The sequence below is a fragment of the Homo sapiens genome, chromosome 4 (assembly GCF_000001405.40).
Source record: "Homo sapiens chromosome 4, GRCh38.p14 Primary Assembly".
Taxonomy (NCBI): domain Eukaryota; kingdom Metazoa; phylum Chordata; class Mammalia; order Primates; family Hominidae; genus Homo; species Homo sapiens.
In genome coordinates this window covers 8,056,006-8,082,235 of record NC_000004.12, presented here as the reverse complement: position 1 = coordinate 8,082,235, position 26,230 = coordinate 8,056,006, and the positions used below count along the sequence as shown (strand labels likewise).

The 26,230-nt window shown below is 54.3% G+C and overlaps 1 protein-coding gene across 51 annotated transcripts in view, besides 3 other annotated features; it reads left to right on the top strand.

Annotated features, from left to right (window-relative positions):
- The window catches only part of ABLIM2 (actin binding LIM protein family member 2), a 193,487-nt gene that overhangs the window by 76,578 nt on the left and 90,679 nt on the right, over positions 1 to 26,230 (top strand). For 50 of the 51 annotated variants that reach the window (NM_001130086.2, NM_032432.5, NM_001130085.2 and 47 more), the window contains exons 5-7: positions 1,434 to 1,560; positions 4,515 to 4,608; positions 21,182 to 21,269. In NM_001130086.2, coding sequence (NP_001123558.1) covers positions 1,434 to 1,560; positions 4,515 to 4,608; positions 21,182 to 21,269 — 309 coding nt within the window. Of the gene's footprint in view, positions 1 to 1,433; positions 1,561 to 4,514; positions 4,609 to 10,247; positions 10,468 to 21,181; positions 21,270 to 26,230 lie in introns of those variants that run through there. The other variant, NM_001286688.2, reaches the window with a different exon arrangement.
- Positions 3,011 to 3,510: an enhancer, noted in NCBI's record as "H3K4me1 hESC enhancer chr4:8080453-8080952 (GRCh37/hg19 assembly coordinates)". NCBI's record gives its function as "activates a minimal SCP1, AML or CMV promoter by ChIP-STARR-seq in naive H9 embryonic stem cells {active_cell/tissue: H9 hESC(naive)}" and the evidence as "EXISTENCE:reporter gene assay evidence [ECO:0000049][PMID:30033119]".
- Positions 10,101 to 10,964: an enhancer, noted in NCBI's record as "H3K4me1 hESC enhancer chr4:8072999-8073862 (GRCh37/hg19 assembly coordinates)". NCBI's record gives its function as "activates a minimal SCP1, AML or CMV promoter by ChIP-STARR-seq in naive H9 embryonic stem cells {active_cell/tissue: H9 hESC(naive)}" and the evidence as "EXISTENCE:reporter gene assay evidence [ECO:0000049][PMID:30033119]".
- Positions 21,199 to 21,926: an enhancer, noted in NCBI's record as "H3K4me1 hESC enhancer chr4:8062037-8062764 (GRCh37/hg19 assembly coordinates)". NCBI's record gives its function as "activates a minimal SCP1, AML or CMV promoter by ChIP-STARR-seq in primed H9 embryonic stem cells {active_cell/tissue: H9 hESC(primed)}" and the evidence as "EXISTENCE:reporter gene assay evidence [ECO:0000049][PMID:30033119]".

The window sequence follows — 26,230 nt, the reverse complement described above, 5'->3', positions numbered from 1 at the left end:
TGGGGCCACCTTCTTTCCATCTTGGGTAGAGGTTTCCTTGGGCACGAGGGGTCCCTGCTTGGTCTGTGAATTACTCAGGGGCTCCTGCAGGCGGCAAGGCCCTGTTTGTCAGACACCCTCTTCCTCCCTGTCCATTACGGGGTCCGAGGCCCTTCCCTTGTCATGCCCCCAACACACAACCACACCCTTAAACACACGCAGACACACACTTCGACAAACACACAGACACACTCTCACGTGCAGACATATTCGCACATGCAGACACAAACACATACGTAGACACACTCACGCACCAGTCACACACACTGACGCACATTCAGCTATGACAGGTGCAGGTCCCTGGAGTGAGGACGTGTGTGATCCATGAATCAATGCACACCTGGGTGGTTGACTCAGTGGGCCCTGCTCCGTCCCAGTTGCTGCTGTTGTCACCAGGTGTTCACCTTGTGAGAGGCCCTTTCCCTTGGGGATGCTGTCACAGCGTCTCTGCCGCTCTGCCTCCCACTCCCCGCCCCTGACCTCATATATTCACAGGAAGACTCACAGGAAGACTCAGGTGACATACAAATGCTCACAGTCCCATAAGACACATCCACATACTTAGACAGTCACACCCTATGCACACAGATGCACATGCACTCACACGCACCCCGCTCAGGCTCGTGCACCAGGCTCTCCCCAGCTCCCCAGCCTGCTCCACCCGCTCTGCCAGGGGAGCATGCCCATGATGCTGGCTGTGGAGCCCCCGGTATGGTGGCTCATAGGGTGGAGGGATTGTGGGCCGCTGGCTCAGGGCAGGGCCAAAACCTGGAGGCCCTGTGCACAAAGACCAGGCCCTGGGACACAGGACAAGTGAGCAGGGCAGGCACGGCTGGGAAGGACAGAGAGGGCACCAGGAGGCCAGGCAGGGTCCCACGAGGCTGGTGGCCACGGGGTGGAGAGCGCCAGTCACCGTAGGGATGGCAGAAAGAGAGAAGGTGGGTTTGGCTGGCTGGGTGTGGCGGGAGAGCTCCCAGGGCTGACGGGGTTGGGGGCTGGGGGCTGGCTCGGCCCTCTCTAATATGGTCCATTTCCCTTTGGGGGGCACATCGAGTCACAGTTGGGTTCAACCTGGTACGTCTCGGTGCCAGGAGCCAACTCCGCTCTCCTGCAAGACAGGACCTCTGTTTCTTCATCTAGGTTTCCCCAGCTCATAGCCCAGGCTGCATGCAGTCAGTGCTCAATGCATGCAGGGTCAAACTTCCCCAGTTGCCTTCCCTATGCTCCAGAGACTGCTGTGTAAGAGACTCCTCCAAGCACACTCGCTGTGGCTGCTGGTCTGTCCCGCCCCTCCCGGCTGCCCCAGGGGCCTTCACGGAGTGTGGAGAGCAGGAGGCCTCCCCAACACCTCTCACAATGGTGGGGGTGTCTGTGTTCTCTTCTCTTTCTTCCAGGTTGTGGGGGCTGCGGCACAGAAATCAAGAATGGCCAGGCCCTGGTAGCCTTGGACAAGCACTGGCACTTGGGCTGTTTTAAGTGCAAGAGCTGTGGGAAGCTCCTGAATGCCGAGTACATCAGCAAGTAAGTGGGGGGAGGGCTCTAGTGAGAGCCTCCGCTCAGGCTTCCCTACTCTGTGGGGGTCCCACACTCTGCACGTGTCCCCAGCGCCACCCTCTCTGTGTCTCTCCTATTCCTCACACAGCTACTACTGCCCTGCTGCTGGGTGAGAAGCATGGCTCAGAGCTCAGCGAATTTGTCCCAACAGCCTTATGTCCCCCTTCCCTGGCCAGCCCTGGCTTCTCTAACGGCATTTGCAGCATCCGGCTCCTTTTTTTGGATGAGAAGCAGAGCTACCAGGGCTGCCAGTGCTGAGTTTTTGAAGTGCCTTCCCTCCCCGTCGCAGTCCCCCTCCACCATCCCCATGGGATCAGCTGCCTTTCCGGCGCCTGGATGTCCTGCAGGAGGTGAAGCAATGTCAGCAGAAGCCAGCATGGAGATGAGGAGAGGGGGCTGACCCATCCCAGGTGTCAGGGCTGGGGCCCCACAGCCACGCACTCTGTCTTCTGCAGAGCGGGGGCCCCTGGGGCAGCTGCCATCGACACCAAACATGTCCCACAAATGTGCAGTCACACTGGGGTGGTGGCCGATTTGGGAACCAGGGAAGGCTTCTGGGAAGATAATGGCCTTGAATGGAGGCAGCTCAGGGCCAGGAGCTGGGGGTCGGTTTTAACCCTGGGGGATTGGGGACCTGAGGCAGGCAAGCCTTCCGCATGGTGCAGGTGAGGGGCGAATATGTGGACGAGCTGAAGGCGGGCAGCTCCTCTGAGCGCAGAGGGCCCCTTCCTGGGAGCTAGAGGGTCTTCTGGCCACTTTTATCTATGCTGTGCTTGTTCTCAATGCCCAATGGGAACAAAATCATCACAGGAATTGATGGGGATGAAAAACGCCCTGTGATAAAACTGCATGGAGTGAGGCGCGCGCACACACACACACACGCACGCACGCATATGCATGCACATTCGAGCACATGTCACACGGAACCTGAATCACGTCGGTGGATGTGCCCGTGTTGACTTCCTGGCTGAGGGTGTATACTAATTCTGCATCACCACTGGGGGAAACTAGGCGAAGGGTACATGGGACCTCTCTGTATTGTTTCTTACAACTGCTGGGGAATCTGCAATGATCTTCAAGACATCATTTTAAGTAAAACCTCCAAACCAAGGTGAGCTTGCACCCAGGGTGAGGGACCTGTGCGGTGCATGAGTTTCCCCGCCTGTGTCACGGTCATCCAGGGACCGCCCGGTGTGGTGCACGCAGCACTTTAATATAAAATGAAAATGCCCAGCCCCGTGCAGGCGGCAGGCCCCTCCCGCAGCGTTGGCAGCTCACCCACACCGTGCATGTTACTTAGCAGCCTCCAGAGCTGTCCCAGAATTGACAAGGAGGGCGTTGGTGTTGCCATGGAGATGTTATCTTTAACTTCCCATTTGCTGCAAATAACACTCGTTTGTGGGTTATTACGGGAGTCCTGAGGTCAGCGGCATTTGGAAGTAAGCCTGAGGACTCATTGTATGTCTCCCCCTCACATGGAAGGAAGGGCTGCCACTCTCTGAGCGATGGCTTATCCCAGCTGTGGGCCACTTCCAGGCCGCAGCCAGAGAGGGGCACCCAGGCCCGGGGCTCATGACCCCACATCCTGGGGACCTAGCAACAGCCCGGAGCTTGGAGGAAAAGAACGTGAGCTGGGGTCTAATCCATGACAGCCTGAGAAATCCTCCCTTCTCTAGTAGCTGTGCAAAAACTCAAACCAAATTTGGAACACTACAGCAACTTCAGCGATGCTGGAAGGGGCGCATTGGAGTGGCAGGTACCTCGCTCTGTGCCAGTCACCCCCACACGTGCTGGGTCTGGCCGGGGCTGAGAGGACAGCCCTGGTTAGTAATGACAATGCTTCAGCCACCTTGGAGAGTGCCTGCCATTCTCTTCATTAGTCCTTACTATTATTTCCCCCATTATGCAGTTGGGGAAGCTGAGGCTCAGAGAGGTTAAGTGAGTTGCCCAGGGTCACACAGCTGGGATGTGGCATTTGAGCACAGGCCTGTTCACTCAACCACGGCTCAGCAGAGCAGCGCCTCCCCACACCGAGTGTGGCCACTGCTGACCTGCTGTCCCCACATCTGCACAGCCATCCATCTTGGCATGTTGATCTCTTAATAATCATGATAACGGGTGTGAAGGTCAGCTCAGGAGCTGTGCCAGGGATGACCCCGCAGACGGCTTTTCTCTGTAGCTCATTTATGGAGACTCGGAGGAAGCCTCTGCTGGAGGGGCAGGCCCAGGATGATGGGCATTCGACACCAATTCCCTGAGCCCTATGCACCTGGCACATAGCAGGCAGGCCGCACGTGTGCGTGGGGAGAGGGGATGGACGCATACGTGCAGCCCTCCTGCTCTTTCCTGCACTGCGGAAGGCCAGGCCTCTCCAAGTGTGGCCAGAGCCAGCCTTTGTCACCCCTCATATTCGGGGGCTGTGATGCAGGCCAGGATGCAGGGGGGACAGTAAAGTCTTGTCCTAACCTACCACACCCTCATCTGGGCTTTCTGTCATTCTCCAGCCCTGTTCCCAATGTGGGTGCCCTTACTGTCCCCCCTCTTTGGCTCACAGTTTTCTAAGGCACCCCAGATGTTGAACTTTGGATGGAAGGAGCCAGAAAGAAGAGCCAGGTCTACAGAAGCAGCTCTCGTTTCCCAGAAGCTGCTGCTGTCAGCCCCTCCCACCCACTGGGCAGGTGGTCTGGCCTGTGCTCCTCAGTTTCTCCGTCTGTGAAATGGGACCATTGTCATCATATTTCTCATGGGGCTGGTGTCTGTGAGAGCCCAATGACACTGCCTGTTGGAAGCATTGTTACCTGAGCAGGAGGAGGTGGGCATTCCCCCACTTTGAGGGCAGACTCTCTTGTTGGTGAGGGTTGTTAGATCTCAAGGGTCCTCGGGCGACACCCGCCCTGTGTTGACTGCCTGTCTCATTGCAGGGATGGGCTGCCCTACTGCGAAGCTGACTATCACGCCAAGTTCGGCATCCGCTGTGACAGCTGTGAGAAATACATCACGGGGCGCGTGCTGGAGGTAAGCGCGGCGGGCCGGGCCCCTGCCCGCTCTGAGCTAGGGCCTAACTGCCCCCCTGGGAGTTGACTGGGAGATTTGTGTGTGTTTGTGCAAGAATCTGTCTGGCTGCAGCTTCACCTCCCTATTCCTGCCAGCTCAGCCAATGGACACCCTCATCAGCTGTCCAGGGCCTGCCCAGTGCCACCTCCTCCAGGAAGCCTGCCTTGTGATGCTCTCTTCTGTGCCTCTTGACAAATTCAGAGCATGTGGGAAGTGCCTTGAGATGTTTTGGCCCAGCCGTTTGCTGTCTAGATTGGGACTCAGAGGCACGGAAGATGGAAGAGAGCCCACACCAGGACCTCGTCCCCATAGGAGGCACAGCGGGGTCGCCCGGGAGGCAGGGCAGATAGCAATTATGCAGGGGGAGCTTCTGAGGTGCTGATAGCTTTGTGTGCCTTGGTCTGGGAGGTAGTCATGTGGGCATGTTCCCTGTGTGAAAATTACACATTATGCCCTTTTCTGCGTTTTGTTCAATAAGATAAATCCCATGGGGCAACTAGGACCAAACCCCACCCTCCAGATTCACAGACCCCCAACCCCCATCCTGCAGCCCACCCTTCGGATTCACAGACCCCCAACCCCCATCCTGCAGCCCACCCTCCGGATTCACAGATCCCACCATCCTGCAGCCCACCTTCTCTGGGTTCACAGACCCCCCCACCCTGTAGCCCACCCTCTCTGGGTTCACAGACCCCCCCACCCTGTAGCCCACCCTCTCTGGGTTCACAGACCCCCCCACCCTGTAGCCCACCCTCTCTGGGTTCACAGACCCCCCACCCTGCAGCCCACCCTCTCTGGGTTCACAGACCCCCCCACCCTGCAGCCCACCCTCTGGATTCACAGACCCCCCCCAACCCTGCAGCCCCTCCTTGCCTCAGTGCTGTGGTGCTGGTCAGGCAGGTGGACTGTCCCCATCCCTGGATTGGCCCATGGTCCATGGGGGAAGCGACAGGTGACCAGGGGGGTCTCGAGAATGGAGAGGGGCTGTGCCTGGTGTGGGAGCCCCTCTCGAGGAGGTTGCAGGAGCTGGCCTCTGGGGTTTGGCTGGGAGGATAGGGTGGGGCTGGGGATGAGGCTGTAGGGAGGGGCACTGAGGAAGGCCTTGGTGCAGGGAATGCTGGGCCACATTGGAGTTTTAGAGAGCTCCCACTGGCTGCCGCAGAGGCCAGTCTGGAGAGGGTGGAATGGGGTGTACCCTTGGATCCCCAAGGCTCCCCTCTGCAGCTCCCACAGCTGGTACCCAGGACCCAAAAGCATTCAGAATGCGGAGGGGAATGGAACAGTGAGCGCAGAGTGGCTTTTCTGGCAAGAAAAAGGCAGCTGGCGGAGAGCTGGACCTGGCCTCAGGCCACCTTCTTTCAAACCCGCATCCAGCAACTCTACCTGGCGGGGAGACGGGTGGCCACACCCATCCCAGTCCCAGTCACTGTGTCTCACTTCCCCAGCTGCAGACTCCAGGGGGCTGGATGCCCCCACGGGAAGGGTCCTGGCCCTGCAGAGAGCTCTGCACTCCTCTGTGGAGTGGCTCTGAGAGGGATGTCCTCCATTCTCATTGATGTGAGGAAGTTTGCAAAGTCCAGAGAGGTGCTAAGAAGAAAATAAAACCACTGACTATGCAATCATAGTTAGCCTAACTTTCTGGCCAGTTTTCTTTCGTTTTTTCTTTCCATGTAATCATAGTTGATCTCAAACCATCTGTGCCATGTTGTATCCCAAACATCCCTGTGTTTCCCAACTCATATTTCCTATTTAGCAGATTTCCAGTTTATTATAAACTCCCCATAAGCATTTCTTCTTTTGGTATTGTGGGGTCTTTTTAAATAGCTTCATTGAGATAGAGTTCACAATTTGCCCATTTAAAGGGCACAAGTCAATGGTTTTCTTTTTTTTCTTTTTTTGGAGAGGTTCTCACTCAGTTGCCCAGGCTGGAGTGCGGTGGTGTCATCACAGCTCACTGCAGCCTCACTTCCCAGGCTTAAGTGATCCTTCCACCTCAGCCTCCCGACCAGCTGGGACTACAGGTGTGCGCCACCACACCTGGCTAATTTTTGTAGTTTTTGTAGAGACAGGGTCTCACTATGTCACCCAAGCTGGTCTCGAGCTCCTGAACTTAAGCAATTCACCTGCCTTCACCGCCCAAAGTGCTGGGATTACAGGTGTGAGTCACCATACCCAGCCCATTCAATGGTTTTCTTTATCAATAACCATAGATATTTGCAGCCATCTCCACAGTCAATTTTAGAACAGTTTCCTCACCTTAGAAAGAACCCCATACCTTTTAGCTGTCACTCCCCGTACCCGCAAGCCCTCGGCAACCACCATTCTACTTTCTACTTTCTGTCTCCATAGACTTCTCTTCTGGACGTTTCATATGAATGGAATCATGAAATATGTAGTCTTTCATGACCGGCTTCTTTCACATAGCTTGATGTTTTCAAGGTTCGTTCGGACATAAGCTTTACTCTCGCATCATATTTCATCATGACTCTCAGAATTGTCAGGCTGGGCCGGGAGCGGTGGCTCATGCCTGTAATCCCAGCACTTTGGGAGGCTGAGGCAGGCGGATCACGAGGTCAGGAGTTCAAGACCAGCCTGGCCAACATGGTGAAACCCCGTCTCTACTACAACTACAAAAATTAGCTGGGCATGGTGGTGGGTGCCTGTAATCCCAGCTACTCAGGGGGCTGAGGCAGGAGAATTGCTTGAACCAGGACCAGGAGGTGGAGGTTGCAGTGAGCCGAGACTGCGCCACTGCACTCCAGCCTGGGCTACAGAGCGAGACTCTGTCTCAAAAAAAAAAAAAAAAAAAAAAGAATTACCAGGCTGATCATTTATGGCTGGACACAATGCCGCCTTCCAGTTTTTTACAACCATCAGTAACATTGCAGCGAACACCCTTTAAAAATAATGCTTTGTTTGCATTTCTAATTTTTCCTAAGATATATTCACAGAAATGTAGAAGTTGAGTCAAAAACTAGGAACATTTTTAGTGTTCTTGATGGTTACTATAAATTGCTTTCTAGAAAGATTATTCTGATTTACAATCTTGTCAACAAGATATAGTATTTCTCCTCTAAACCTTTGCCAATTTGATAGGTGGAAACATGGGATCTTGCTTTTTTAAATTTCTTTTTTTAGAGATGGGGTCTTGCTCTGTCACCCAGGCTGGAGCGCAGTGATGAAGTCATAGCTCCCTGTAGCCTCGACCTCTTGAGCTCAAGCAATACTTCCTCAGGCTCCCACGTAGCCGGGACTACAGGCATGCAATACCATGCTTGGATAGTATTTAAAATTTTCTTAGAGACAGGGATCTTGCTGTATTGCCCCAGCTGGCCTGGAACTCTTGGCCTCAAGTGATCCTTCCACCTCAGCCTCCCAAAGTGCTGGGATTAGGGGTGTGAGCCACCGCACCCTGCAGGGTCTAGCTTTAATTTGCCTTTCTTCCATCCCTAGTGAGGCTGAGTCTTGTCTTTTTTTTTTTTTTTTTTTTTTTTTTTTTGTGAGACAGAGTTTTACTCTTGTCATTCAGGCTAGAGTGCAGTGGCGCAATCTCGGCTCACTGCAACCTCCACCTCCTGGGTTCAAGCCATTCTCCTGCTTCAGCCTCCCAAGTAGCTGGGATTACAGGCGTGAGCCACCACGCCTGGCTGATTTTTGTATTTTTGGTAGAGATAGAATGTCACCATGTTGGCAGGCTGGTCTCGAACTCCCGACCTCAGGTGATCTGCCTACCTCAGCCTCCCAAAATGCCGGGGTTACAGGCGTGAGCCACCATGCCCAACCTTTTGTCATTTGTAGCCATTCCTAATTCTTGTATTTCAGTTATCTGTTGTAAATGTTGCCTGCTTATCTATTTAGGGTCTTTGTGCCTTCTGTGCGGGTGGATCACATAAGGCTGCAGATGTTCTGTCTGTCCTATAAGTATTTTCCTGGGTGGCGATCATATCTGATATTTACAGCCAGTGATGCATCCCAGGGACGACGTCCTGCCTGGCCCTCTCCTCTCTCCCCTTCTCCTGGGGCCGTGGCCTCTCCCTCCCTCACCCCTCCCCTTGCTCAGCCCTTGCTGGCACACCCCACCCTGTAGGAGGTGGTGAGGGCTCTGGAGGAGCCTGCAGGATAGGATGGAGCCTGGCCTGATGCACTGCCTGGCAGTCCAAAGCCACGTTTCCGTTCTCCGCGAAGAACAGCCCAGACCTTCCACACTGTCCTGGACTGCGCTCCCTGCCCACACAGCGGCCTTGTCTTCTGCTTGACAAAGAGTTGGCAGCCAGACCTCAGCGAGGACGGCCTGGGTGGCTCACTCTCTATGAGACCCCATTTCTATCCTGACTCTCTCCCTTGCCCTGCTGCTTCCCGCACACCACCCCCACCCCTACCACGCCTGTGCCTGGGTCCAGCCGCTCTGGCCATCGCCCCCTCTGCCGTGCTTGATCCTGTCTCCTCCCATCTTCCCCACCTTACCTGCCAGGGCTTCCCCTCCAGTGGCGTTTTAGAGAGTGTTCATCTCTCCCGTTAAAAACAGCAGCCTGGTATGGAAGTCCCCACTGCAGAGACTCAGCCTCTCCTCTCCCTTCGCACCGGCCCCACTGCCTCTCAGAGACCCTCTCTGTGCTCCTCCACCTGTACTCTCCCTGCTCTTCTGCAGATCCGGGGGCTTTGTGTGCAGGAAACCCTAAGGCCTTTAAGCCTCCTCTTACCGACCCCTCCCTACTTCCCCAGGGGCCTTGCAGGGCCTGCGTTCCCCACTCAGGTGCTGTCCCTGACCCTGCTCCTCTTATGCGCTGGTGGCTCTGATGCTCAGCCAGGCCAACACCACATGCAGGCACTCTCCCTCCGCCACATACACACTGCCTCCCACCACTCACCTGGGCGTCCAGCTGGATCCACCCACGTGCCCGGCCATCAGCCACTGAGAGTCGGTGGCAGAGCCAGACTGGAGCCCGGGGTGCGCAGGTTTCCCCCAACCCTTTGTCTTCTCCTGGTGCACAGATGCAGGTTTGCATTTTTGGCTTAATAGCATAGCCACGTTGGAACATCTGGTGGCCTAAAGTGGGGTGTATCTTGGGTGCAGTCAGCTGCGGCTGTTGCTGCTGCTGGTGCAGGAGCCTCACCTGCCCCGCGTTTCTGACACCCATGGGCAGCAGCCCCCACACCAGAGAGGCCCTGGCCTGGGGTCGGGGGCAGACCCCACCCAAACTGGGGCTGCTCTGCCTCAGGCACGCTCCGCACTGGGCGAGCAAAGTGGGTTTCATCAGGCAGCCCCCCCTCCCCTTGATGGATTGGGAGGCAAGCGTCCCATGTCTGCAATGTAAGCATCCCTGATATTTAATGCCAAATACAGAATTTGGGGTGCGCCCTGGTTCATCGGGAAGGAACCATCCTAATTCGAGGAACAGGAGCAAAACAGGTCTGGGTTTTTTCCTCCTCCTCTGCTGTGGAGGAGAAAGGGCCTCCTGGGGAAGATTAATGCTTTTGTTTTCGCCTCTGCCGGGGAGGCGAGTCTGTGGCGGCGTGGCTGAGTCGGCGGGCTCTGCACAGCTCTGAGCATCCTCCCCGGGTGCAAGGTGGGAACTGCGGGCGGGGACAAGCCTGGCTCCGCAGAAGGGGAGCTGCCGCCGCCGCGGTGGCACTGCCTGATGCTCGGCCCAGTGTGCCGGTGCCCCGCTGGGTGACAGTGGACTCCCAGGGCGCAGCAGGAGCAGGTGACAGACTGTTGGCTGAAGGTGAGGGTGTCCACCCTCGCAGGCACACGTTCCAGGGAGCACGGCACTCAAGCAGGGCCGTCAGACTGGGCTCTGGTGCCCAGAAGCTGTGCAGGTAGGAAACCTGGCCCGCAACTCCAAGGGGCTGATGGGGGCTCACAGGGGCCAGGAGGGGCTGCGGGTGGGTGGGTTTTTGGGGACAGAGCAGTCAGGTGTGAGACCTCGGAGCCACCTGTTCCCCCACCCCCGTTTTGCCCCCTAAGGCGCTTGGCAGTGCCCCTGGCTTCCCTCTGCAGGACCCAAGCACAGAGCATCCCAGGCTCCCACTGCCAGCCGAGCCCTCGCCTGTGCTGTGTCTGCGTGTGGTGGGCATGGTGCCATCCTAAGTGCTGGCGCCCGCAGTGCCCGCCTGCCCGCGAAATGTGCATTTGGTGGTGACAGTGGGGTTTTCCTTCCCCGTCTCTCCCTCAGTTTCTCCTAAACGTGCAGCACCCTCATGCATGTTGGCCTGCATCCCACCCATCTCTGGGTGTCTGTCCTGATGAGCCGGCTCCTTGCTGGGGTCCTGTGGGGGCATGGGAGGGGCTGATATCTGTGTCCCACTCCTGGGCCGGGATGGCTGGCTAGGGATGGGGGAGGCACTGGGCTGGGGCAGCAGAGGTGGGTGGCGCCTGGCAGCAACTGTGGCAGAGCCAGCTGCTGGGGACGGATGGCGCTGCCCCCACAGAGGGAGCTGGGACTCAGCTGGCGAATCCACGGGGACAGCGGTGTGACCAGCCTCTAGACCAGGGCTGCATAAAGGGAGGAGGTGTGGATGAGGAGAAGCCACTGGCCATGTGTTCAGAGCCCCACCTTCCAGGAACCCCATCCCTCCCTCGCCCTGTCAACACCTCCTGAAGAGGTGGGCGGGAGTGGGGGTGCCTGTTTCCAGCCCCACCCTCTGTTAACCCTGTCAGGGCTGAGGTCTGGACCGGTGTGCCTCGTGCAGTCTGTGCAGGGGCCGTCTCCCCGGTAACAAGAAGCCCAGCGTCCCCCTGGTTCTGCGAATCAATTCCTCCTCCCTTTACTCCTCCCCTCCTCCTTCCCTCCCTCTGCCCCTCCTCTCTTTCCTTCCCCAGTCAACCACTCCCTTCTAGACCCTTCCTGGCCTCACTGTGTGTTCCACCCTGGGCTAGATGCTGGGTTCACAGAGACGCAGGTGACAGATCCCTGCCACAGGGGAGGCTGGCAGGAAAGGGGGTGCCGAGGCTCTCTCTGCCCTGGGTCAGGGACCAGTTGAACATCATTCTTGCAATTGCGGGACATTTGTTCTTTGCTTCCTCCTGTCTGTCTTGGGGCAGGAAGCACGGATGACTCTCGTCACTGGGAGAAAACAAACCGTGTTTCCAAATAAATACAGCATTTCTGATGGGTAGAGGTGATAGCGACTTCTCAAGTCCCCAACTTCTCTCACTCAAAAGGAATACCTGTTTATCATAAAATAAGCCAAAACATTCATAGTGCCACCCCCACAGCTAACTACTGCTGGCATCTAGAAGTCATCCTTTCAGATTTTGCACACGTGCAGATACACACATCCACAGACACACACGAGATATACACACACATGCACAACCCACAGACAACACACGTGGACACAGAGACACAGGACAAAACACAGACACACGCGGTCACACACACAAGACAGACACAGCACAGACAGACACACAGGCCACACACATACACACACAGACGTACACACACAGACACAGATTGTAGACATACATAGACACATGCAGACACACAAACACACAGAAAGACACAGATGACACAGACACACTCAGATACACAGATACATACACACACAAAGCACATAGACACACACAAACACACAAAAGGACACACAGATCACATACACATACAAGACGTGCAGACAGCACGCTTAGGCACACAAACAACACACATGGAAATAAACACACAGAAAGAAACACATGACACACACAACCAACATAAACACAGGGACACAGACATCGACAACGCAGACACACAGAAAACACACACGGCACCCACAGACACGTACACACAGACAACACATAGAGACACACAAGCACACGGAGAGACACAGACAACATGCATGGACACACCGAAACGTACACAGACAACACAAGGACACATGGACACAGAGACTGCACATAGCAACACACAGACAACACACAAACACACACAGAGACACACAGAAATGCACACAGACAACCAAGACAGCACACACGATGCACACACAGACACACGGAAAGACATCCACACAGACACCAGGCAAAACACAGAGACACACAGACACGCACATGCGCACACACCCTTTGCCGCATCTCTGCCTTCCTGCCTTGCCTCATGCCGGCAGCGCATCAGAGCCCCTGGTCCTACCCTTCCACGCTGGCCTGTCGTGTCCTCCCTTGCGTCCCCTGGTCCCCGGGCAATGTGCTCATCACTGTCTTCGTGGTGGGACCCTCCGAGCCTGGACACGCTGCAGTGCGTGTGAACATCCACAGGCGGGATTCTGCCCTAGCCTTTCCCAAACTTAGTCAAGTTCTCTGGTCCTCTAGGGCCGCTCAGGCTGGCCTCCTGGGCACCGTGTTGCCTTGTTCAGAACGTCCCCACTGGACGGCTCGTCTGCCAGTGCCACTGCTGGAGGGGACGCCGGGGTACAGCAGAGAATGAGGCCGCTGGGCCAAGCGCTCCTGAGGCTCACGCCTTAACGGGAGCTGGGTAGAGAGGAAGAGGCAGTGGGGCCAGGAGTGAGTGTGCTAGACAGGCCTGGGGCCAAGAGGAGCTGTGTTCCAGAGGGTGTGGAAGGTCTGGGGAGGGCCCAGATCTCAAGGGGCCTTGCTGGGCACTGCTCAGAGTGGGGCCCTTCTTTCTGGGATGCAGTGGCCCCTGGGGATTCTGGGGATTCTGTCCTGGCCGCCAAACACCCCCAGGGGGATCCCCTGCTCACAGCTTTCATTTGTTTCTTTGTAAATTTCATTTTGTTTGTGCATCATGGTGATTAGGTCTTTTAAGACCTGGACTCAGTTCTGGAAGTTCAGAAAGGAAACTAGAGCTCTGAACTGGGCCGATGACTGTGAGGAGCAGCTGCTGGGAGCTGCCTGCTGCAGGGAGGTGCAGCCCGCAGGCCCAGCCCTGGCCCTCGGCTGAGCGGGAGCCCGCAGCGGGGAAGAAGCAAGGGGAAGTGTGGCAGCTCTCCAGTGGGCAGAGGAGGCCTTTGCACCCGGATTCCGTGGTTGGATTCAGGGAGGAAAGGGGCCTCCTGCCTCAGGTGTGAGGGGCTCATGGCAGAGAGGGCTGATCCATTCTCCAGAAGCCCAAAGACGGGGGACCACTAGCTCTCCTCTGCTGGGACAGGAGGGGTTTCTGGAGGCGGGACAGCTTTGCCACACCTCTGTCCTGCTGGCCCTATTCTGCACGTCACAGTGGGGACGTCCCTTAAACCGCTGCCCTCTGACCCAGCACTGGCTGAGGACCTGTGGTCACCCTGAGCCACCACAGGCTGTGGGTGTGCTTCCCTGGCACCTCGTTCTGCCTTATTAAAGATGACAGCCACCCTTCAGAAGGCACAAGATGTCTTCCTAAAACCACTCACTGCAAAGTCTTTCAGTTGCTCATATATTTTGAAATCCGAGCCATCATGAGCCCCACGCGGGCGAGGGTGGGACTTCCGCCTGCCTGGGGAGCCGTGCGCCCACTGGAACAACCAGCGGCCGAGGTTTCAGGCACTCCTCGGGTGGCAATTGGGAGGATGTGGCCACTGTACCGATGACTGGGACGCCCCAGTCACTATGAGAGAATGGGAATGACAACAGGAGGTGACACAGGGAATGAGGACACTTCTAATTTTTGACTCCATCAGCCCATCGATGGCCGCCTGTGACCCACTGGTTCTCAGCAGGAAGTATGGGGTAGGGAGGGGGTGACCTGTGCCATGCCGGTACCTTCCAGCTAAATGTCCTCTGGAATCACAGAGCCCGGTTATACTACCCCAGCCTGAGAGGGAGGGACAGTCCTCTCCATCTTATACACGGGGACACTGAACCCCAGCACGTGACACAGGGCCTGAGTCACACAGCCAGGAAGAGAGAATCTCAGGCTGGAATCTGTCACCTCCATGGCTTTGGCCACGAGCCTGGGACAGGCCTGAGCACCGGCAGGCACATTTGCTCCGTCCACTTGACGGCCCCGTGGTGTTCCTCAGAGCCTGAAGACACAGGCCCTCCAGCCCTGCCCCTCCACCATGGGTGGATTGTTCCAGAACATGGAGCGTCCTTAAAATGTAAGGGTTTGGCTGTTGACTCTCATACTTTATGAGTGGCCCGAACTGTGAGTGAGGGTGCCGGCTGCCCCTGGCCACGCGGCTGTGCCATCACTGGAAAGGGTGCAGAGCTGGCACTGGCTCAGACTTGGCTCTAACTCTGCTGTGTGACTTCTCAGACCCCAGGCTGCTCCTCTGTGCCATGGGCCAGGCCGTGGCGTGTACAGCGTGGAAGGCTTCCGTCTCTGCCCCCAGCTCACTAGGAGCTCTGCGACCCTTCCTTTTCCTGTGTCTGTGCGTTGGGTGTGGGAGGAGGGCTGTTGACAGGGAGCCGGTGAGCTGAGGATGCAGTTAATTCCGTGCTCTGAGGCCCCGGACCTGCAGGGGCTCAGCCACAAATGTCCCCGATTGTCCCCATGGCCCATGGAGTCTTCCCAGGAGGTAGCATCCAGCCTGCCTTCTTTGGATCCTGGCTCCTCATTCTCTCAATGACATGGCCTTGGGTAGGCCCCCCTCGCCTCTCTGAGCCTCGACCTCCTCCTCTGGAAAACAAGGATAGACAAGAGTGTTCACCCCAAGGGGCTGCTGTGAGGATGAACTTGAGGCAGGCAGAGCACCTGACACAATGCTTGGTATGTGGTTGGTCATTCAAAAGTTGGCCATTTGGGGATCAGCTCTTCTTTAAAAAGTTGAGGTGACATTCACGTAACGTACAATTAACCATTTAAAATGTTCGGTGGCATTTGGTGCATTCACAATATCATGCAACTTCCAGTTCTCTCTAGTTCCAAAACTTTTTCGTCACCCCGAGAGGAAACCTCACCCCCACTAGGCAGTTACTCCCCATTCCCTCCTCCCCCAGCCTCTGGCAGCCACTCACCTGCTTTCTGTCTCCATGGATTTGCCTGCTCCGGATTTTCCATAGTGAAGGAATCCTCTACCCCGTGGCTTTGCGTCTGGCATCTTTCACTGCACACGTTTTCAGAGTTCATCCATGTTGTAGCAGGATCAGTGCTTTCATTCCTGTCTGTGGCTGAATAATACTCCCTGGCATAGATACGCCACTATTTCTTCATCCACGATGGACACCGGGGCTGTTTCTATCCTTTCGCTGTTATATAGAATGCTTCTGTGAACATCATGTACAGGTTTTTATGTGGAACCACCCCTCCCTTCCTTCCTTCCTTCCTTCCTTCCTTCCTTCCTTCCTTCCTTCCTTCCTTCCTTCCTTCCTTCCTTCCCTCCCTCCCTCCCTCTCTCCCTCCCTCCTTTCTTTTTTCTTTTTTTTTTTTTTTTGAGACATAGTCTCTCTCTGTTGCCCAGGCTGGAGTGCACTGGCGCTATCTCGGCTCACTGCAAGCTCTGCCTCCCGGGTTCACGCCATTCTCCTGCCTCAGCCTCCTGATTAGCTGGGACTACAGACACCTGCCACCATGCCCAGCTAATTTTTTGTAATTTTTTTTTAGTAGAGACAGGGTTTCACCGTGTTAGCCAGGATGGTCTCCATCTCCTGACCTCATGATCCGCCCGCCTCAGCCTCCCAAAGTGCTGGGATTACGGGCATGAGCCACCGCACCCGGCCCCCTCCCTCCCTCCTTTCTCCCTCCCCTCCCCTGCCCTCCCCTCCCCTCCATTCCCTTTCCTTCCCTTCCATTCCCTTCTTTCCTTCCTTTCCTTCTTTCTGGAGTCTTGCACTGTTGCTTAGGCTGGAGTACAGTGGCGCGATCTCAGCTCACTGCAACCTCCGCCTCCCAAGTTCAAGCAATTCTCCTGTCTCAGCCTCCTGAGTAGCTGGGATTACAGGCACCCGCCACCAAGCCTAGCTAATTTTTGTATTTTTAGTAGAGATGGCGTTTCACCATGTTGGTCAAGCTGGTCTCAAACTCCTGACCTCTGGTGATCTGCCCATCTTAGCCTTCCAAAGTGCTGGGATTACAGGCTTGAGCCACTGTGCCCAGCCAAGTTTTCATTTCTCTTGTTCTTTTCTCTTCATTTTCTTTAAATGCCAAAGAGTGAATTTCCTGGCTCCTGGTAATTCTGTGTTTAACTTCTTGAAAAACCAATACACTGTCTTCCACAGTAGCTGCACTGTTTTGTGTTTCCATCAGCAGCGCACGAGGGCTCCTGTGTCTTGACATCCTCACCAACACCTTTTCTTTTCCTTTCTGTGTTGTTATTATTGTAGCTACCCTCATGGGTATGAAGTGGTGTCTCCTATGGTTTTGATTTGCAATTTCTTAATGACAAGGATGTTGAGCATCTTTTCATGTACCAGTTGGCCATTTGTATATTTTCATTGAAGAAGTGTCTATTCAGGTCCTTTGCCCACCTTTTTAAAACGTTTCTGTAAGAGTCTGGGTTTCACTCTGTCATCCAGGCTGGAGTGCAGTGGCATGATCAGAGCTCACTGTAACTTAGAGCTCCTGAGCTCAAAGTATCCTCCCACCTCAGCCTCCTGAGTAGCTGGGACTACAGGTGCAAGCCACCATGCCTGGCTAATTTTTCAATTTTTTTTGTAGAGACCATGTCTCACTATGTTGCCCAGGCTGGTCTTGAACTCCTGGCCTCAAGTGATCCTCTTGCCTTGACCTCTGAGAGCACTTGGATTACAGGTGTGAGCCACTGCACCTGTCCTCTTAACAGCATGTTTTCTTCTAATCGTTTTTCAGTTTTAGCTCTTGCGTTTAGGTCTTTGCTTTGTTGGCATGTAATACACACAGAGGGGTGCGTGAATTATACCTGTGCATCTTGGTACATTTTTACAAACTGGACACACCCATGGAACCAGTACCGAGTCAAGAAAGAGAACAGGTCTGGTGCCCCAGACTCCCCCGTGAGTCCCCAAGGGCACCCTAGCCAGGTAGATCGCTTTGCCTGGTTTTGAACATCCTAAACCTGGGGCCTGTTCTCTTGTGTCCGACTTCTTGGCTTGGATCAGTTCACCAGCATCCTCCATGTTGTTCGTTCAGGACACGAGGGTGCGGCGTGTGTTAGTTCACTCCTGTGACATGTAACAGAATACCTGAAACTCCTGGGGAATTTATAAAGAAAAGGATGGATTTCCTAAAGTGATGGAGGCTGTGAAGTCCAGCGTGAAGGGGGCACATCCTGTGGCTGTTGGGAACTTTCTGCAGAGTCCCATGGTGAGGGGCCGAGCATGCTGGCTGGCTCAGAGCTTTCCTCCTGTCTTCAGAGCCACCCGTCCTGTTCCCATGATGGCCTGTTAATCCATGAATGTATCAGTCCATCCTGATGGCAGGACCTTCACGGTCTGCTCCCCTCTTAAGGGCCCCCCTCTCAATACTGCCACACAGGTGATTAGATTTCAACATGAGTTTTGAAGGGGATGTTGAAAACAAATGCTCGGTGCCACAAAGAAGAATGAGCACTGGACAAAGGACAAAGGGTTTCTCAGCAAGGCAAATTTATTTCTGCAGAAGAGCATGTCTCGCTTGTGGAGCAATGGCGAGAGCACACAGAACAAAGGAAATCAGGGTTTTTATTATCTCTAACGCAGCTTCTGCTTCTGTGTCTTTCCTCTATTGGCTAGGATCGGACTGCACAGTCTAAACTAGTCCCAATGGGCTAAACATTTAAACTTTCTTAGATAAGGTAGGCATGTAAGGGAGGTGAGAAGAGAGAGAAAGGGGGTCATTTATGGAGCGACTAGGAAGGTAACTTATTCCCTGGTAACGAAAGGAATGTGGACTGGGGCTGTAGCAAGTCCAGGCATGCCTAGGCTTATTCAGACAAGTTGGGGCACAGCAAAGGCAAGGGGGGTATTTGGAATTATAGTACAGAGAATGGGGAAACTGGATAAGCTGTTTGAAGAGGGAACATAACTGTATCTAACAGGGACAAACATTCAAGCCTTAGCAGTGAGCATGTGAGCAGGGGGTGCACACCCCAGACCTGAGATCTGTACCAGGACTTGCGGACAGCCAGGCTGGGGGTTGAGTGCCTGCCAGGCCTGGGCATGGGCTTAAGCTCTGCACTCGGGGGCCAGGCTCCTGGACTGTAACCGCAGCTCTACCACCTGCTGCTGTGTGACCTTGCTCAAGCTCTTCCACCTCTCTGTGCCTGTTATGGTCAGTGAGAGTAATAATATACCCATAGCACTGCTGCAAGGACTTGACAAGTTAATGTGTGTAACAGGCTTCTTGGCCCGAGCTGTGGAGACCATAGCCACTGCTGCTGTGGAGGGCTCAAGCCCATCGTCTTAGAAACTGTCCCAGAAGGCTGGACACGGTGGCTCACGCCTATAATCTCAGCACTTTGGGAAGCCAAGGGGGGCAGATCACAAGGTCAAGAGATTGAGACCATCCTGGCCAACAATGGTGAAACCCCATCTCTACTAAAAATACAAAAATTAGCTGGGCGTGGTGGCGTGTGCCTGCAGTCCCAGCTACTCGGGAGGCTGAGGCAGGAGAATCACTTGAACCCGGGAGGCAGAGGTTGCAGTGAGCTGAGATTGCACCACTGCACTCCAGCCTGGGCAACAGAGCGAGACTCTGTCTCAAAAAAAAGAAGCTGTCCCAGCAGTGTTCTCCCTTGATTCACATGTGGACGTGCCATGTAGACATGCTGTGTAGACAGCAGGGTTTGTTTGCCCTGCAGGGTTGCTTTCTGTCCCCTGTGGCTGTCACAGAACTCCTGCTGTTAGAGGAAGTCAGTGTGAAGTGGGGGCACCTGGATTTAAGCAGGTGTGAGGACAGGTCACAGGCCACAAACTCAGGAATACTCATTATGAATGCAGTGAGCCAGCAGTTGACAACTGTGACGTTGATACCTGGTGACTTTTATTTTTAAAAATACAGAGCTGTCTCAATCTCTGATTTACACTTAAGAGTGCTACTCAGACCAGGCCGGGCGTGGTGGCTCATGCCTGTAATCCCAACACTTTGGGAGGCTGAGGCGGGCGGATCACGAGGTCAGGAGATCGAGACCATCCTGGCTAACACAGTGAAACCCCGTCTCTACTAAAAATACAAAAAAATTAGCCAGGCGTGGTGGTGGGGGTCTGTAGTCCCAGCTACTCGGAGGCTGAGGCAGGAGAATGGTGTGAACCTGGGGGGCAGAGCTTGCAGTGATCCAAGATCGCGCCACTGCACTCCATCCAGCCAGGGCGACAGAGTGAGACTCCGTCTCAAAAAAAAAAAAAAAGAGTGCTACCCAGACCACTGGGCATTTGAATAATTGTGATCAGCGAAATGATTGTTTCACCCACATTCTGGGGCCAGATGCTGTGGTGTGACCTGCTATCCAGAGAGATCCCTGCACCTGGTACTCCCTGACGTGGCCCAGGTGCCAGGCCCTGCGCTTGAGAGACTGGCCATCTAGTGGGGAAGAATACACCCAAGTAATCCCTGAACAGTGTGGAAATGGGGCTGTGAATGCCCAGATTGGGGAAGGGTTCAGAGAAAGCTCCCGAGTGGAGGTGGCAGGTGGGATGAGATAGCAGTCAGGGTGGCAGGGGTGGGAGTGTGGGAGGGCTGCTCCAGTGGAGGGGACAGCTGGTGCCGAGGCCTGGGCCCTGCGGGAAGAGCCCCTTTGCTGGAAGATTCACGGCCTTATCACCTGGCCCGGAGGTTGGCAGAGGAGGCCACACCAGGCTCTGCGCAGGAGAAAAGCCTGCTCTGGGCTCTTCCTCCCAATACACAGGGGCCATCTCGGGGCTGTTTTCATCCTAGGGAAGGCACAGGACAGGGAAAACGGGATGCTCAAAATGACATTTCAGCCCTTTACTTACTGATTCAGGAAACTGGTTATTATAAATTCAGATGTAGGTAGGGATTAGGAAACTTCTTCCCGTTTTAGGAAAGAATGAGCCACGGGGATTTAGCATCCACATTTAGCAATAGGCTGCACCCGCCGTGCCCTCAGGGTAGGAAGTGTGTGCTGGAACGTGGGGGTAAAGGGAGCATTTCGGGGTGATTTTTTTTTTTTTTGCTCCAGGCAAAAATAAGCCAAACCAGGCAATGTGGTTTGTTTGGGTTATTTCAGTATTAGCATTTGTAGTCTAATTTAATAAACTTCAAGAATGATAAAAACAAAATGCTCATTGAACATACTGAGCAATACAGAGATGTGAAAAGGAAAGTATTCATCCTTTTTCACCCCACTCCCCTAATTCTTGCACCTAGGGAAATCATATTATCTTTCCCTCCCCTCCCTCTCCCCTTTTCTTCCTCCTCCTGTCCCTCCCGCTCCCTCTGGAAATACCAAGACCTCTCTCTGGATGCCGCCTGGTAAAGGAGGCTGACCCCTCCTGGACTACCCCGGCAGGGAGCTGCATGCTGGGCTCCTGCAGGCTGGGCAAGTGCAGCCAGGTCTCCCCCTGCCTCCCCACAGGGCGCCTTGGACAGCCCGGGGGCACCCCCGGGTCTGGGCTCTGCTCAGGGGTCTTGGGTCCCGATGGTGGGGGCTGGCCCTTCCAGTATCCCCTGAGTACCTGTGCTCAGGGCATGCTGTATCCATGCCGGGCGCTGGGACCCAGCCGACCTTTCTGGCTTTAGTAGAAACATTCTGCTTTGTGCTTTTCTTACAGGCCGGAGAGAAGCACTACCACCCTTCCTGCGCGCTATGTGTCAGGTGCGGCCAGATGTTTGCAGAAGGCGAAGAGATGTATCTTCAAGGTACAAATTAAAATGTGTTGTTTGGTCCCCTAGAGCAAGGAACTACCCTCTTCGATGTCCACACACATGCTGGGTGTGAACAGGTTGGTGACAGTGTCATCTCGCTAGGTCACGAGCAGCCCAGCCACAGCGGGGAGCCGGCAGGGCAGGGCGGTGGCACGTGCCAGGCCAGCCTCGTCAGCCTGCCTTGTCTGTCCAATGATCTCAGCGAGCCCGAGACCAGCAAGAAAGGAAAAGGGCCGAGCCAAAGACCAGCACCCAGAAGTGCTGGCTATTTGGCTCCAAGTAGCAAAGCTTAAACAAATACGGCCTGATCACATCCGTCGCCACTTTAGGCCCCTTCTAGAAAGCCGCCCCAGCTCAGGGAGTCCAAGTTAGGAGTTTTAGGTGTTTCCCGCCCCAGCCACCCCAGCCTGCTGCAACCCCTCTGTCCACAAAGGAGGTTGGTAATGAGGTACTGAGGGTCACTGGCAGCAGCCGAGGCTTTCTTCCAGGAGCAAGGGAAGAGCCAGCCCCACAGAGCATTGACGAAAGGAGGATTTGGAGGAAAATGTAGCGGACTTCTAACAGGCCCCATGGGAAATGGCCCAGGCCCCCTCACCATTAAAAATAAGTGTCATCACAAAGGCGGGGCGTCCTGTGGGCTGCCAGACCTGAAGAAAGGGCGAGACTTGAGGACTGGTCGTCTCTCCTCCTCCCAGATTAACCCTTTTTAGCTCATAGCTTCTCATTTTCACAATTAAATTAAGCTTCTGATGGCGGCATTCGGCTACCCTTTATACCTTCACAATGCAGGTATCCAGTGGCAGGGGAGGAGGGAGACAACGACTCTTATAAGGGGAAGAAACACAATTTTCTACCTTTTATAGGTCTTAGTTGGGACAGATCCCTGTAACAAGACAGATTAACAAGATAAGGATGAACAGAAGCTTATTAACATGTGCACCTTGTGTACGTGCAAAGGGTGGCCCAGAGAAATGAGGACACACAGGACACGCAGGGGCAGATCTCCAAGAGGCAGCTTTGGGGTTTTTTGGGGTTTTTTTTTTTTTTTTTTTTTGAAACAGAGTCTTGCTCTGTTGCCCAGGCTGGAAGTGCAGTGGCAAGATCTTGGCTCACTGCAACCTCCACCTCCTGGGTTCAAGCAATTCTCCTGCCTCAGCCTTCCAAGTAGCTGGGATTACAGGCATGCACCACCATACCCGGCTAATTTTTTTTTGTATTTTTAGTACAGATGGGGTTTCATCATGTTGGTCGGGCTAGTCTCAAACTCCTGACCTCAGGCAATCTGCCCGCCTCGGCCTCCCAAAGTGCTGAGATTACAGGTATGATCCACCATGCCCCGGCCATCAAAGAGGCAGTTTTGACCTCAGGCTGAGACAACGGCATCCCCTACAACAAAGAAGAAAGGTGTGGGGAGGCATAGTTATGTCAAGTGGGGGGGCCGGGGGACAGGGGGCACCTTAGGCAAGGGGGAGGAGTGCTGTGTGCCTTCTCCACTGAGAAGAGACCCAGGGACTTCCGGTCATCCTCATCTTCCTGGTGCAGAGAGGAGACACCGTTAGAGTTGGAGGTTTCCTTTGGAGATCTCAGTTCCCCTTACAAAATGGTCACTTCTGCTTGGTTTTCAATGCTTTTCTGAGTCTGCTGTTTCCCCCAGTAATCAACTCAAAATAACCCTTATGCCAGAGGGGCATGTCAGGGGCAGCAAATTCTGGCCTGCTAGTCCTGTTTGGGGTGGCATGTTCTGAGCCCCATCACTCTCCTTGCAGACAGGCACCTAGAGTTATGCTTCATCTTATCACTCTGACCACCCCGCTATGTATTGCTTATTCATTCCCTGAGCACTCCCTGCTAAGGAAAATTATTGTGGCACTCATTAAAACCGGTAAGGAAGACTCTTCCCAACAGGAGTCAGGACCATCGCAATGGATGAGAGAGGGGGTGAGATTTTGAATATGGCAGACAGTGGGGGTTGCAGCCAATGAGCAGGGTTGGGGCAGCAGGTGGAAAGTCGCTCGAGGTACTGGGCTTCTTGCTGAACTGACCCCACAAGATGGTTGCCGAAGACAGGCTAAGGACTGAGTCGTCAAAGATGGGATGAGGAACTCAATCAGAAGTGGAGGGAGATTAGGCTTCTAGGCCAGGGGATTCCTGCCAGACTGATTTTGCAGTATTCTCGCTGAAACTGAGCCAGGCAGGCCTAAGACTGGATGGGTTGGGAGGGTGATGGTGGAGACCTGGGCAAAGTTCGAGGCCTAATTGAGAAGAGGGTTCAGAGGAGCCTGACCCAAGGGTCTGGTCCCAGCGAGCACTGGTGGGACAGGGGCCATGTGCTGGAGTGCAGCCCCCAGACTTGATGATGGATTGGACGGGGCATAGGGGCCCCGGCGAGGACAGGTCTGCTATTGTGACTTCATCTCTTTAGCCACAGCTCCCTTTTGAAGATTCTCTGTCACCAGTGCTCCCAGAGGCCAGCTGGGCCCGGCCAGGTCTGGGAGAGCTGCTGTCAGAGCGTCTGCCGTGCAGGTGCCTGCGGGCTGTTGAATGACCTCATGCGGCCATTGTCACAGGGCCGTGGATCACACAGGCCTGCCTTTCTCAGGCCGAACCCAGCGGGGTGATGTCAGACAGGACAGCCTCGTCCCCGGTGTCGCCTGTTCCTTGAGTCTCTGCTCGAGAGCCCGTCAAAGGGTCCTTTGGGACCGTCCCAGCAGTGCCAGGCTGTCTGGGCAGGGGCCTTGCTCTGCATGGGGTTTGGCCCCCACAGTAAAGGGCACCCTTAGACAGTGGGGCACGGTGGACACTGAGCACAATGGCCTTGGGACAGCAGCTCGGGGACACGAGTTCACATCAAGGGTAACCTCATCTCAGGAACAAAGGCGCCCTTCAGGACTGGCCTGAGGCCAGCCCCCGCTTCTGCTGTGAGGTTCTGTGGGATGTCGAACCCAGGCCTGTCCCCTCTCCTAACTTGGATTTCTCAGTCTGAATCATGACAGGTCTGACCAGCTGTGTGGCTTTGAGGCTCTGCTCCCTGGCACAGGCCTCCTTGGGGCACCCACCCTGCCTGGTCATCCTGAGACCCTCTGTGTGGCCTCCAGGGATGTCGGGGCTCCATGCAGATGTTATTTGGCTGGCAAATCCTGCTGCAATAAAGGCTCTGAAAAGCATGGGCCCCAGCGACCCCCACGGTCTCCTGGGCGATGAGGCAGGCCAACCCCCGCAATGCCACCACCGTTCCTGCCGCGGACTTTCCCATAAACATGGGGTGGGGCATTAGATCCTGCTAATTGTTAAGATGCCCGTATTAAAATAATGAGATACTCCTTTTTCCCACTGGGGTGAAAAGATAAAAAGGAAGTGTGAGCCCCATGTTGGTGAGAAGTCAAGGACACAGGCCTCTTATGCAGCTAGTAGGGGCGAAAATTGGGAAACTGACAGAAAAATCTCAAGAGCCCTAAACATGACCCCACTCTTTGAGCCAAGACTCCATTTCTAGGAAGTATGTGCCAGTTGTGTGCAGTGGAGCCCCTGCAATGTCATTTAGAAATAAATAAAACGTTAGAAAGATCAAAAGAGGAGGCCAGGTGCAGTGGCTCATGCCTGTAATTCCAGCACTTTGGGAGGCAGAGGTGGATGGATCACCCGAAGTCGGAAGTTCAAGACCAGCCTGGCCAACATGGCGAAACCCCATCTCTACTAAAACTGGGTGTGGTGGCGCATGCCTGTAATCCCAGCTACTCAGAAGGCTGAGGCATGAGAGTCTCTTGAACCTGGGAGGCAGAGGTTGCAGTGAGCTGAGATTGCATAACTGCACTCTAGCCTGGACAACAGAGTGAGACTTTGTCTTAAAAAAAAAAAAAAAAAAGAAAGAAAGAAAAGAAAAGGAAAGAAAAAAGAAAGATCAGGAGAGGAGTAGAGAGATAAAATTCTTATCTGTCCACATTGTATAGCCCTTAAAGTTGCATGTTTTGATATTTAATTTAATTAACTGGGAAATGTTCAAGACTTTTTTTTTTTTTTTTTTTTTTTTTTGAGACGGAGTTTCGCTCTGTCGCCCAGGGTGGAGTGCAGTGGTGCGATCTTGGCTCACTGCAAGCTCCGCCTCCCGAGTTCACGCCATTCTCCTGCCTCAGCCTCCCGAGCAGCTGGGACTACAGGCGCCCGCCACCATGCCCAGCTAATTTTTTGTATTTTTAGTAGAGACGGGGTTTCACCATGTTAGCCAGAATGGTCTCGATCTCCTGACCTCGTGATCCGCCTGCCTCAGCCTCCCAAAGTGCTGGGATTACAGGTGTGAGCCACAGCACCCGGCCTGTTCAAGACATTTTTAAGCAAATATGTAGGATATGAAATTGTGTCTGTAGCCTGGGTGTGGTGGCTCATGCCTGTAATCCCAGCACTTTGGGAGGCCAAGGCAGGCAGATTGCTTGAGCCCAGGAGTTTGAGACCAGCCTAGTCAATATAGTGAGACCCCATCTCTACAAAAAAATGAAAAATTAGCTGGGCATGGTGCTATGCTTCTGTAGTCCCAGTTACTTGGGAGGCTGAGGCAGGAGGATTGCTTGAGACCAAGAGGTGGGGGCTGCAGTGAGCTATATTTGCACCACTGCCATGCTGGGTAACAGAGTGAGACCCTGTCTCAAAAAAAAAAAAAAAAAGAAAGAAAGAAAGAAGAAACTGTGTATTACACTGAACCCCTTCCATTTGTAGGTACACCTGTACTATAAGGCAGCCAACAAAAAGTGGGTGAGAGATTAGAAATGATTTTAATTTCATTTACATTTTTTAAGGTTTCTATAATTTTTAATAAGAGACATCTGTTACTTTTTTTTTTTTTTTTTTTTTTTTTTTGAGACAGAGTCTTGCTCTGTTACCCAGGCTGGAATGCAATGGTGCAATCTCAGCTCACTGCAACCTCTGCCTCCCAAGTTCAAGCGATTCTCCTGCCTCAGCCTCCT